The sequence below is a fragment of the Homo sapiens genome, chromosome 1 (genome assembly GCF_000001405.40).
Source record: "Homo sapiens chromosome 1, GRCh38.p14 Primary Assembly".
NCBI lineage: Eukaryota > Metazoa > Chordata > Mammalia > Primates > Hominidae > Homo > Homo sapiens.
Window position 1 is genome coordinate 145,360,019 of NC_000001.11, and position 12,984 is coordinate 145,373,002.

A 12,984-nucleotide genomic window follows, 5' to 3' on the forward strand; every position below is an offset into this window, starting at 1 on the left:
AAACCACACAGCCCCAGCTAGATTTCATGGCTAACGTAAGGAAGAGTTTGAAAAGAAAAAGGACAGATCCATTAATGAGGTAACAAATTATTGCCTTTATGTTGGGATAGAACAGGGCCAGGTAGAAAACAATGAAAGAGAAAGACAGAGAGAGAGAGAGAGACAGAGACAGAGAGAGAGACAGAGACAGAGACAGAGAGAAAGTGACCTAGTGAATTGGCCAGGTGACATACTGGTAAGGGAGTAAAAGGACACTCTGAGTTAGTGCCCTCATGACACACAGCAAACTGTGATCATGAAAAGAGTGAGCTCAATAGTTTTCCATAAAATATGCTCAAAATTCGATGCAGTGGCCATGAGAGTACAGCTTTTGAAGTATGGTCAACCTATGGTACGTTAGGAAATGATAAGGGGAGGAAGAAATGGAAACCTAAACATCTACTGCAATGAAAACCAACAGCAATGACAGTAGGAGTAATTCAGCCTTCGTTGAAAACATGACATCAAACACACTCTGGTTTCCCTGAATCTGTTGCCTCCAGGTGTTAACACAGAATTAAGCATCCACAATTGCTGAAAGTCACCTGGGGCATGGTGGGTTTTGATCTTCTTCCCCTTCTTTTCTTCCCCTTCTTCTTTCCTTCTTTGATCTTCTTCCCCTTCTTTTCTTCCCCTTCCCCTTCTTTTCAATTTCTGCAATAAATTCAGACATGGACAGACACATTAAGCTGATTCCCCTACACACATAACAATCCACTGTCTAATCCTCACACAGGGACCTCAGGCTCCTCAGCATAAGAATAGGACACCGTGAGAGATATATTTCAGGAGGCCTGAAGGCTGGTCATGATAGAAATTCCTCGGTTTTTCTCCCAGAAACTGTGGGTAAAATGTCCCTATTCTAGTAGATCGTTATCCCAATATCATTTGTCCCAAGTTTGTGCAAACAGTTATGCCATATTTTTCCAATCAACTTAAAGCAAATACCCTCAAATGATTTCTAGGAGAAAAACTGCAATATTTAGCCCTGTCTCATCAAATACTCAGATTGTTCATGGTTGTGAGGACTTTAGACACTGAAATTAGAGTGAAAAAGGAAATCTACAAACCCTTGAGTCAAAATCATAGTTCTCTGAATTTGTCACATCTGCCCAGGTCCAATGTCATGAGGATAGGATCAGGGCGCCACAGGTATGGCCTGAGACTAGGAAGAGAGTCTTGCTCACTGACCCATCCCTTGCCTGGGCTTCCAGGTAGAACTAGAGTTTCATTCAACCTACATGTGCCTATAGGTCCTCCCTGTGGCAATGACATCTCTCAGCTCAGTAATGGCCACTTGGAGCAGGAATATGATCTTTATATGGAAGACTCAGTGGATCCTTATCACCTTCATAGAAAGGTACTCACCTCCCACGTCGAGAGAAAAGCCAACATGTTTTTCCTCCAATGCATAAAAGGAACTTCCATAGGGCTGGCAGGAGTCAGGCTGTTCAAGACAACTGGAAGGAGTTGAATAACATCTATCCAGTGAGTCCTGCAAGACTTCAGGCTCTACTACCTCCAGCAGCTCCCTGCTGAGCCTGGAAAAGGAGGAAAAAGTAAAGAATAAGCCAGGGGAAATCAGACACAACAGAGCCCCAACTAGGTTTCATGGGTAGCATAGGGAAGTGGTTAAAAAACTAAAAGGATAGATCCATTAATGAGGTAACAAATTATTGCCTTCATGTTGGGACAGAACAGGGCCAAATGGAAAAGAATGAAAGAGAAAGACAGATAGACACACACACACACACACACACACACACACACACAGACACACACACACACACAGAGAGAACGAGCTCAGTGAATTGTCCAGGTGACACACTGATGAGGGAGTAACAGGACACTCTGAGTTAGTGCCCTCAGGACACACAGCATACAGGGATCATGAAAAGACTGTGCTCAATAATTTTCCATAAAATGTGCTCAAGTTTCCATGCAGTCGCCATGAGAATACAGTTTTTGAAGTCTGGTCCACCTACAGTAGGTTAGTAAATGATAAGGGGAGGAAGAAATGGAAACCTAAATATCTACTGCAATGAAAACCAACAGCAATGTTAGTAGGAATAATTCAGGCTTGCTGGAAAAGATGTAATCGATAATGTCAGCCCGCTCTGTTTTCCCTGAACCAGGAGTCTCCAGATGTCAACACAGAAGTAGCTGTTCACAATTGCTCAGTTACCTGGGGCATGGTGGGCCTTGGTCTTCTTCCTCTTCTTGGTCCTTTTTAGTTCCTGCAATACATTCAGACAGGGACAGACAAAATAAGCCAATTCACCTACACCCATAACAGTCCACTGTCTAATCCCCACACAGGGATCTCAGGCTCCTCAGCATGAGAACAGGACAATGTGAGAGAGATACTTCAGGAGGCCTGAAAGCTGGTCATGATATTCTTTGGTTTGCATCTCAGAACCAAGGGTGAAATATCCCCATTCTGGTAGATCGTTATCCCAAAATCATTTATCCCAAGTTTGTGCAAACAGTTATGCCTTATTGTTCCCATCAGTTCAAAGAAAATGCCCCAGATGATTTCTAGGAGGAAAACTGCAGTATTCAGCCCTGTCTCATCAAATGCCCAGCTCGTTCATGGATGCAAGAATTTTAGACACTGAAATTAGAATGAAGGAGGAAATCTACAAACCCTTGAGTCCAAATCATACTTCTGTGAATTTTTTACATCTGCCTGGGTCCAATGTGCTGAGAGCGGGCTCAGCTTGCCACAGGCATGGCTGGAGACTAGGAATAGAGCCTTGCTCACTGACCCATTTCATGTCTAGGCTTCCAACTGAGACTACAGTTTCATTACAACCTATATGCGCCCATAGGTCCTGCCTGCGGCAATGACATCTCTCGGGTCAGTAAGGGCCACTTGGAACAGGAATATCACCCCTATCTGGAAGACCAGGTGGAGGCTTATCACCTTCACAGTAAGGTACTCACTGTCCACGTCAAGAGCCAAGCCAAGGTACTGTTCCTCCAATGAGTAAACAGCACTGCTGTAGGGCTGGCCTAAGTCAGGCAGTTCAAGATAACCTGAAGGAGTCGAATAACATCTATCCAGTGAGTCCTGCAAGACTTCAGGCTCTTTCTCATCCAGCAGCTCCCTGCTGAGCCTGGAAAAGTAGGAAAAAGTAAAGAATAAGCCAGGGGGAATCAGAAACCACACAGCCCCAGCTAGATTTCATGGCTAACATAAGGAACTGTTTAAAAAGAAAAAGGACAGATCCATTAATGAGGTAATGAATTATTGCCTTTATGTTGGGATAGACCAGGGCCAGGTAGAAAAGAATGAAAGAGAAAGACAGGGAGAGGGAGGGAGAGAGAGAGAGAGAGAGAGAGGAGAAAGTAAGCTCAGCGAGTTGGCCGGGTGACACACTGATGAAGGGGTCAAAGGACACTCTGAGTTAGTGCCCTCGGGACACACAGCGAACAGTGATCATGAAAAGAGTGGGCTCAATAATTTTCCATAAACTTGCTCAAGATTCCATGCAGTTGCCATACAGCCTTTGAGGTATGGTCAACCTATAGTAAGTTAGTAAATGATAAGGGGAGGAAGAAATGGAAACCTAAACATCTACTGCAATGAAAACCAACAGCAATATCAGGAGGAGTAATTCAACCTTCGTTGAAAACATGAAATTGAACACACTCTTGTTTTCCCTGGACCTGGCATCTCCAGGTGTCAACACAGAATTAAGCATCCATAATTGCTCAAAGTTACCTGGGGCATGATGGGTCTTGGTCTTCTTCCACTTCTTGGTACTTTTCAATTTCTGCAATAAGTTCAGACATGGACAGACATATTAAGCTGGTTCTCCTACACACATAACAATCCACTGTCTAATCCTCACACAGGGACTTCAGGCTCCTCAGCATGAGAATAGGACACTGTGAGAGATAGTCTTCAGGAGGCCTGAAGGCTGATCACCATAGAGATTCCTTGGTTTTTGTCCCAGAAACTGTGGGTAAAATTCCCTATTCTGGTAGATCGTTATCCCAATATCATTTGTCCCAAGTTTGTGCAAATGGTTATGCCATATTTTTCCAATCGATTTAAAGCAAATGCCCCCAAATGGTTGCTAGGAGAAAAACTGCACTATTCAGCCCTGTCTCATCAAATACTCAGATTGTTCACGGTAGCGAGGATTTTAGACGCTGAAATTAGAGTGAAGGATGAAATCTACAAGATCTACAAAATTGAGACAAAATCAGAGTTGTGTGAATTTGTCACATCTGCCCAGGTCCAACGTCATGAGAGTAGGATTAGGGCGCCACAGGCATGGCCTGAGACTAGGAAGAGAGCCTTGCTCACTGACCCATCCCTTGTCTGGGCTTCCAAGTGGAACTAGAGTTTCATTCAACCTACATGTGCCTATAGGACCTCCCTGTGGCAATGACATCTCTCAGCTCAGTAAGGGCCACTTGCAGTAGGAATATGACCCTAACCAGAAGACTCAGTGGATCCTTATCACCTTCATAGAAAGGTACTCACCATCCATGTCAACAGCCAAGCCAACACGCTGTTGCTCCAATACGTAAAAGGCACTTCTGTAGGGCTGGCATGAGTCAGTCAGTTCAAGACAACCTGAAGGAGTTGAATAACTTCTATCCAGTGAGTCCTGCAAGACTTCAGGCCCTTTCTCATCCAGCAGCTCCCTGCTGAGCCTGGAAAAGTGGGAAAAAGTAAAGAATAAGCCAGGGGGAATCAGAAACCACACAGCCCCAGCTAGATTTCATGGCTAACGTAAGGAAGAGTTTGAAAAGAAAAAGGACAGATCCATTAATGAGGTAACAAATTATTGCCTTTATGTTGGGATAGAACAGGGCCAGGTAGAAAACAATGAAAGAGAAAGACAGAGAGAGAGAGAGAGACAGAGACAGAGAGAGAGACAGAGACAGAGACAGAGAGAAAGTGACCTAGTGAATTGGCCAGGTGACATACTGGTAAGGGAGTAAAAGGACACTCTGAGTTAGTGCCCTCATGACACACAGCAAACTGTGATCATGAAAAGAGTGAGCTCAATAGTTTTCCATAAAATATGCTCAAAATTCGATGCAGTGGCCATGAGAGTACAGCTTTTGAAGTATGGTCAACCTATGGTACGTTAGGAAATGATAAGGGGAGGAAGAAATGGAAACCTAAACATCTACTGCAATGAAAACCAACAGCAATGACAGTAGGAGTAATTCAGCCTTCGTTGAAAACATGACATCAAACACACTCTGGTTTCCCTGAATCTGTTGCCTCCAGGTGTTAACACAGAATTAAGCATCCACAATTGCTGAAAGTCACCTGGGGCATGGTGGGGTTTGATCTTCTTCCCCTTCTTTTCTTCCCCTTCTTCTTTCCTTCTTTGATCTTCTTCCCCTTCTTTTCTTCCCCTTCCCCTTCTTTTCAATTTCTGCAATAAATTCAGACATGGACAGACACATTAAGCTGATTCCCCTACACACATAACAATCCACTGTCTAATCCTCACACAGGGACCTCAGGCTCCTCAGCATAAGAATAGGACACCGTGAGAGATATATTTCAGGAGGCCTGAAGGCTGGTCATGATAGAAATTCCTCGGTTTTTCTCCCAGAAACTGTGGGTAAAATGTCCCTATTCTAGTAGATCGTTATCCCAATATCATTTGTCCCAAGTTTGTGCAAACAGTTATGCCATATTTTTCCAATCAACTTAAAGCAAATACCCTCAAATGATTTCTAGGAGAAAAACTGCAATATTTAGCCCTGTCTCATCAAATACTCAGATTGTTCATGGTTGTGAGGACTTTAGACACTGAAATTAGAGTGAAAAAGGAAATCTACAAACCCTTGAGTCAAAATCATAGTTCTCTGAATTTGTCACATCTGCCCAGGTCCAATGTCATGAGGATAGGATCAGGGCGCCACAGGTATGGCCTGAGACTAGGAAGAGAGTCTTGCTCACTGACCCATCCCTTGCCTGGGCTTCCAGGTAGAACTAGAGTTTCATTCAACCTACATGTGCCTATAGGTCCTCCCTGTGGCAATGACATCTCTCAGCTCAGTAATGGCCACTTGGAGCAGGAATATGATCTTTATATGGAAGACTCAGTGGATCCTTATCACCTTCATAGAAAGGTACTCACCTCCCACGTCGAGAGAAAAGCCAACATGTTTTTCCTCCAATGCATAAAAGGAACTTCCATAGGGCTGGCAGGAGTCAGGCTGTTCAAGACAACTGGAAGGAGTTGAATAACATCTATCCAGTGAGTCCTGCAAGACTTCAGGCTCTACTACCTCCAGCAGCTCCCTGCTGAGCCTGGAAAAGGAGGAAAAAGTAAAGAATAAGCCAGGGGAAATCAGACACAACAGAGCCCCAACTAGGTTTCATGGGTAGCATAGGGAAGTGGTTAAAAAACTAAAAGGATAGATCCATTAATGAGGTAACAAATTATTGCCTTCATGTTGGGACAGAACAGGGCCAAATGGAAAAGAATGAAAGAGAAAGACAGATAGACACACACACACACACACACACACACACACACACACACACAGACACACACACACACACAGAGAGAACGAGCTCAGTGAATTGTCCAGGTGACACACTGATGAGGGAGTAACAGGACACTCTGAGTTAGTGCCCTCAGGACACACAGCATACAGGGATCATGAAAAGACTGTGCTCAATAATTTTCCATAAAATGTGCTCAAGTTTCCATGCAGTCGCCATGAGAATACAGTTTTTGAAGTCTGGTCCACCTACAGTAGGTTAGTAAATGATAAGGGGAGGAAGAAATGGAAACCTAAATATCTACTGCAATGAAAACCAACAGCAATGTTAGTAGGAATAATTCAGGCTTGCTGGAAAAGATGTAATCGATAATGTCAGCCCGCTCTGTTTTCCCTGAACCAGGAGTCTCCAGATGTCAACACAGAAGTAGCTGTTCACAATTGCTCAGTTACCTGGGGCATGGTGGGCCTTGGTCTTCTTCCTCTTCTTGGTCCTTTTTAGTTCCTGCAATACATTCAGACAGGGACAGACAAAATAAGCCAATTCACCTACACCCATAACAGTCCACTGTCTAATCCCCACACAGGGATCTCAGGCTCCTCAGCATGAGAACAGGACAATGTGAGAGAGATACTTCAGGAGGCCTGAAAGCTGGTCATGATATTCTTTGGTTTGCATCTCAGAACCAAGGGTGAAATATCCCCATTCTGGTAGATCGTTATCCCAAAATCATTTATCCCAAGTTTGTGCAAACAGTTATGCCTTATTGTTCCCATCAGTTCAAAGAAAATGCCCCAGATGATTTCTAGGAGGAAAACTGCAGTATTCAGCCCTGTCTCATCAAATGCCCAGCTCGTTCATGGATGCAAGAATTTTAGACACTGAAATTAGAATGAAGGAGGAAATCTACAAACCCTTCAGTCCAAATCATACTTCTGTGAATTTTTTACATCTGCCTGGGTCCAATGTGCTGAGAGCGGGCTCAGCTTGCCACAGGCATGGCTGGAGACTAGGAATAGAGCCTTGCTCACTGACCCATTTCATGTCTAGGCTTCCAACTGAGACTACAGTTTCATTACAACCTATATGCGCCCATAGGTCCTGCCTGCGGCAATGACATCTCTCGGGTCAGTAAGGGCCACTTGGAACAGGAATATCACCCCTATCTGGAAGACCAGGTGGAGGCTTATCACCTTCACAGTAAGGTACTCACTGTCCACGTCAAGAGCCAAGCCAAGGTACTGTTCCTCCAATGAGTAAACAGCACTGCTGTAGGGCTGGCCTAAGTCAGGCAGTTCAAGATAACCTGAAGGAGTCGAATAACATCTATCCAGTGAGTCCTGCAAGACTTCAGGCTCTTTCTCATCCAGCAGCTCCCTGCTGAGCCTGGAAAAGTAGGAAAAAGTAAAGAATAAGCCAGGGGGAATCAGAAACCACACAGCCCCAGCTAGATTTCATGGCTAACATAAGGAACTGTTTAAAAAGAAAAAGGACAGATCCATTAATGAGGTAATGAATTATTGCCTTTATGTTGGGATAGACCAGGGCCAGGTAGAAAAGAATGAAAGAGAAAGACAGGGAGAGGGAGGGAGAGAGAGAGAGAGAGAGAGAGGAGAAAGTAAGCTCAGCGAGTTGGCCGGGTGACACACTGATGAAGGGGTCAAAGGACACTCTGAGTTAGTGCCCTCGGGACACACAGCGAACAGTGATCATGAAAAGAGTGGGCTCAATAATTTTCCATAAACTTGCTCAAGATTCCATGCAGTTGCCATACAGCCTTTGAGGTATGGTCAACCTATAGTAAGTTAGTAAATGATAAGGGGAGGAAGAAATGGAAACCTAAACATCTACTGCAATGAAAACCAACAGCAATATCAGGAGGAGTAATTCAACCTTCGTTGAAAACATGAAATTGAACACACTCTTGTTTTCCCTGGACCTGGCATCTCCAGGTGTCAACACAGAATTAAGCATCCATAATTGCTCAAAGTTACCTGGGGCATGATGGGTCTTGGTCTTCTTCCACTTCTTGGTACTTTTCAATTTCTGCAATAAGTTCAGACATGGACAGACATATTAAGCTGGTTCTCCTACACACATAACAATCCACTGTCTAATCCTCACACGGGGACTTCAGGCTCCTCAGCATGAGAATAGGACACTGTGAGAGATAGTCTTCAGGAGGCCTGAAGGCTGATCACCATAGAGATTCCTTGGTTTTTGTCCCAGAAACTGTGGGTAAAATTCCCTATTCTGGTAGATCGTTATCCCAATATCATTTGTCCCAAGTTTGTGCAAATGGTTATGCCATATTTTTCCAATCGATTTAAAGCAAATGCCCCCAAATGGTTGCTAGGAGAAAAACTGCACTATTCAGCCCTGTCTCATCAAATACTCAGATTGTTCACGGTAGCGAGGATTTTAGACGCTGAAATTAGAGTGAAGGATGAAATCTACAAGATCTACAAAATTGAGACAAAATCAGAGTTGTGTGAATTTGTCACATCTGCCCAGGTCCAACGTCATGAGAGTAGGATTAGGGCGCCACAGGCATGGCCTGAGACTAGGAAGAGAGCCTTGCTCACTGACCCATCCCTTGTCTGGGCTTCCAAGTGGAACTAGAGTTTCATTCAACCTACATGTGCCTATAGGACCTCCCTGTGGCAATGACATCTCTCAGCTCAGTAAGGGCCACTTGCAGTAGGAATATGACCCTAACCAGAAGACTCAGTGGATCCTTATCACCTTCATAGAAAGGTACTCACCATCCATGTCAACAGCCAAGCCAACACGCTGTTGCTCCAATACGTAAAAGGCACTTCTGTAGGGCTGGCATGAGTCAGTCAGTTCAAGACAACCTGAAGGAGTTGAATAACTTCTATCCAGTGAGTCCTGCAAGACTTCAGGCCCTTTCTCATCCAGCAGCTCCCTGCTGAGCCTGGAAAAGTGGGAAAAAGTAAAGAATAAGCCAGGGGGAATCAGAAACCACACAGCCCCAGCTAGATTTCATGGCTAACGTAAGGAAGAGTTTGAAAAGAAAAAGGACAGATCCATTAATGAGGTAACAAATTATTGCCTTTATGTTGGGATAGAACAGGGCCAGGTAGAAAACAATGAAAGAGAAAGACAGAGAGAGAGAGAGAGACAGAGACAGAGAGAGAGACAGAGACAGAGACAGAGAGAAAGTGACCTAGTGAATTGGCCAGGTGACATACTGGTAAGGGAGTAAAAGGACACTCTGAGTTAGTGCCCTCATGACACACAGCAAACTGTGATCATGAAAAGAGTGAGCTCAATAGTTTTCCATAAAATATGCTCAAAATTCGATGCAGTGGCCATGAGAGTACAGCTTTTGAAGTATGGTCAACCTATGGTACGTTAGGAAATGATAAGGGGAGGAAGAAATGGAAACCTAAACATCTACTGCAATGAAAACCAACAGCAATGACAGTAGGAGTAATTCAGCCTTCGTTGAAAACATGACATCAAACACACTCTGGTTTCCCTGAATCTGTTGCCTCCAGGTGTTAACACAGAATTAAGCATCCACAATTGCTGAAAGTCACCTGGGGCATGGTGGGTTTTGATCTTCTTCCCCTTCTTTTCTTCCCCTTCTTCTTTCCTTCTTTGATCTTCTTCCCCTTCTTTTCTTCCCCTTCCCCTTCTTTTCAATTTCTGCAATAAATTCAGACATGGACAGACACATTAAGCTGATTCCCCTACACACATAACAATCCACTGTCTAATCCTCACACAGGGACCTCAGGCTCCTCAGCATAAGAATAGGACACCGTGAGAGATATATTTCAGGAGGCCTGAAGGCTGGTCATGATAGAAATTCCTCGGTTTTTCTCCCAGAAACTGTGGGTAAAATGTCCCTATTCTAGTAGATCGTTATCCCAATATCATTTGTCCCAAGTTTGTGCAAACAGTTATGCCATATTTTTCCAATCAACTTAAAGCAAATACCCTCAAATGATTTCTAGGAGAAAAACTGCAATATTTAGCCCTGTCTCATCAAATACTCAGATTGTTCATGGTTGTGAGGACTTTAGACACTGAAATTAGAGTGAAAAAGGAAATCTACAAACCCTTGAGTCAAAATCATAGTTCTCTGAATTTGTCACATCTGCCCAGGTCCAATGTCATGAGGATAGGATCAGGGCGCCACAGGTATGGCCTGAGACTAGGAAGAGAGTCTTGCTCACTGACCCATCCCTTGCCTGGGCTTCCAGGTAGAACTAGAGTTTCATTCAACCTACATGTGCCTATAGGTCCTCCCTGTGGCAATGACATCTCTCAGCTCAGTAATGGCCACTTGGAGCAGGAATATGATCTTTATATGGAAGACTCAGTGGATCCTTATCACCTTCATAGAAAGGTACTCACCTCCCACGTCGAGAGAAAAGCCAACATGTTTTTCCTCCAATGCATAAAAGGAACTTCCATAGGGCTGGCAGGAGTCAGGCTGTTCAAGACAACTGGAAGGAGTTGAATAACATCTATCCAGTGAGTCCTGCAAGACTTCAGGCTCTACTACCTCCAGCAGCTCCCTGCTGAGCCTGGAAAAGGAGGAAAAAGTAAAGAATAAGCCAGGGGAAATCAGACACAACAGAGCCCCAACTAGGTTTCATGGGTAGCATAGGGAAGTGGTTAAAAAACTAAAAGGATAGATCCATTAATGAGGTAACAAATTATTGCCTTCATGTTGGGACAGAACAGGGCCAAATGGAAAAGAATGAAAGAGAAAGACAGATAGACACACACACACACACACACACACACACACACACACACACAGAGAGAGAGAGAACGAGCTCAGTGAATTGTCCAGGTGACACACTGATGAGGGAGTAACAGGACACTCTGAGTTAGTGCCCTCAGGACACACAGCATACAGGGATCATGAAAAGACTGTGCTCAATAATTTTCCATAAAATGTGCTCAAGTTTCCATGCAGTCGCCATGAGAATACAGTTTTTGAAGTCTGGTCCACCTACAGTAGGTTAGTAAATGATAAGGGGAGGAAGAAATGGAAACCTAAATATCTACTGCAATGAAAACCAACAGCAATGTTAGTAGGAATAATTCAGGCTTGCTGGAAAAGATGTAATCGATAATGTCAGCCCGCTCTGTTTTCCCTGAACCAGGAGTCTCCAGATGTCAACACAGAAGTAGCTGTTCACAATTGCTCAGTTACCTGGGGCATGGTGGGCCTTGGTCTTCTTCCTCTTCTTGGTCCTTTTTAGTTCCTGCAATACATTCAGACAGGGACAGACAAAATAAGCCAATTCACCTACACCCATAACAGTCCACTGTCTAATCCCCACACAGGGATCTCAGGCTCCTCAGCATGAGAACAGGACAATGTGAGAGAGATACTTCAGGAGGCCTGAAAGCTGGTCATGATATTCTTTGGTTTGCATCTCAGAACCAAGGGTGAAATATCCCCATTCTGGTAGATCGTTATCCCAAAATCATTTATCCCAAGTTTGTGCAAACAGTTATGCCTTATTGTTCCCATCAGTTCAAAGAAAATGCCCCAGATGATTTCTAGGAGGAAAACTGCAGTATTCAGCCCTGTCTCATCAAATGCCCAGCTCGTTCATGGATGCAAGAATTTTAGACACTGAAATTAGAATGAAGGAGGAAATCTACAAACCCTTGAGTCCAAATCATAGTTCTGTGAATTTTTTACGTCTGCCTGGGTCCAATGTGCTGAGAGCGGGCTCAGCTTGCCACAGGCATGGCTGGAGACTAGGAATAGAGCCTTGCTCACTGACCCATTTCATGTCTAGGCTTCCAACTGAGACTACAGTTTCATTACAACCTATATGCGCCCATAGGTCCTGCCTGCGGCAATGACATCTCTCGGGTCAGTAAGGGCCACTTGGAACAGGAATATCACCCCTATCTGGAAGACCAGGTGGAGGCTTATCACCTTCACAGTAAGATACTCACTGTCCACGTCAAGAGCCAAGCCAAGGTACTGTTCCTCCAATGAGTAAACAGCACTGCTGTAGGGCTGGCCTAAGTCAGGCAGTTCAAGATAACCTGAAGGAGTCGAATAACATCTATCCAGTGAGTCCTGCAAGACTTCAGGCTCTTTCTCATCCAGCAGCTCCCTGCTGAGCCTGGAAAAGTAGGAAAAAGTAAAGAATAAGCCAGGGGGAATCAGAAACCACACAGCCCCAGCTAGATTTCATGGCTAACATAAGGAACTGTTTAAAAAGAAAAAGGACAGATCCATTAATGAGGTAATGAATTATTGCCTTTATGTTGGGATAGACCAGGGCCAGGTAGAAAAGAATGAAAGAGAAAGACAGGGAGAGGGAGGGAGAGAGAGAGAGAGAGAGAGAGGAGAAAGTAAGCTCAGCGAGTTGGCCGGGTGACACACTGATGAAGGGGTCAAAGGACACTCTGAGTTAGTGCCCTCGGGACACACAGCGAAC

General features: G+C 44.3%; 1 protein-coding gene across 3 annotated transcripts in view; it reads right to left on the reverse strand.

Annotated features, from left to right (window-relative positions):
* NBPF20 (NBPF member 20) overlaps positions 1 to 12,984 on the reverse strand; it is a 135,704-nt gene that overhangs the window by 70,119 nt on the left and 52,601 nt on the right. For 2 of the 3 annotated variants that reach the window (NM_001278267.1, NM_001397211.1), the window contains 16 exons: positions 12,494 to 12,666; positions 11,733 to 11,784; positions 10,922 to 11,094; positions 10,099 to 10,207; positions 9,298 to 9,470; positions 8,527 to 8,578; positions 7,746 to 7,918; positions 6,985 to 7,036; positions 6,162 to 6,334; positions 5,339 to 5,447; positions 4,538 to 4,710; positions 3,767 to 3,818; positions 2,986 to 3,158; positions 2,225 to 2,276; positions 1,408 to 1,580; positions 585 to 693 (listed from right to left, as the gene is read on the reverse strand). The exons of the other annotated variant lie outside the window; for it this stretch is intronic. In NM_001278267.1, the coding sequence (NP_001265196.1) occupies positions 585 to 693; positions 1,408 to 1,580; positions 2,225 to 2,276; positions 2,986 to 3,158; positions 3,767 to 3,818; positions 4,538 to 4,710; positions 5,339 to 5,447; positions 6,162 to 6,334; positions 6,985 to 7,036; positions 7,746 to 7,918; positions 8,527 to 8,578; positions 9,298 to 9,470; positions 10,099 to 10,207; positions 10,922 to 11,094; positions 11,733 to 11,784; positions 12,494 to 12,666 (1,971 nt within the window). The remainder of the gene's footprint in view (positions 1 to 584; positions 694 to 1,407; positions 1,581 to 2,224; positions 2,277 to 2,985; positions 3,159 to 3,766; positions 3,819 to 4,537; positions 4,711 to 5,338; positions 5,448 to 6,161; positions 6,335 to 6,984; positions 7,037 to 7,745; positions 7,919 to 8,526; positions 8,579 to 9,297; positions 9,471 to 10,098; positions 10,208 to 10,921; positions 11,095 to 11,732; positions 11,785 to 12,493; positions 12,667 to 12,984) is intronic. 3 annotated transcript variants of the gene reach the window in all.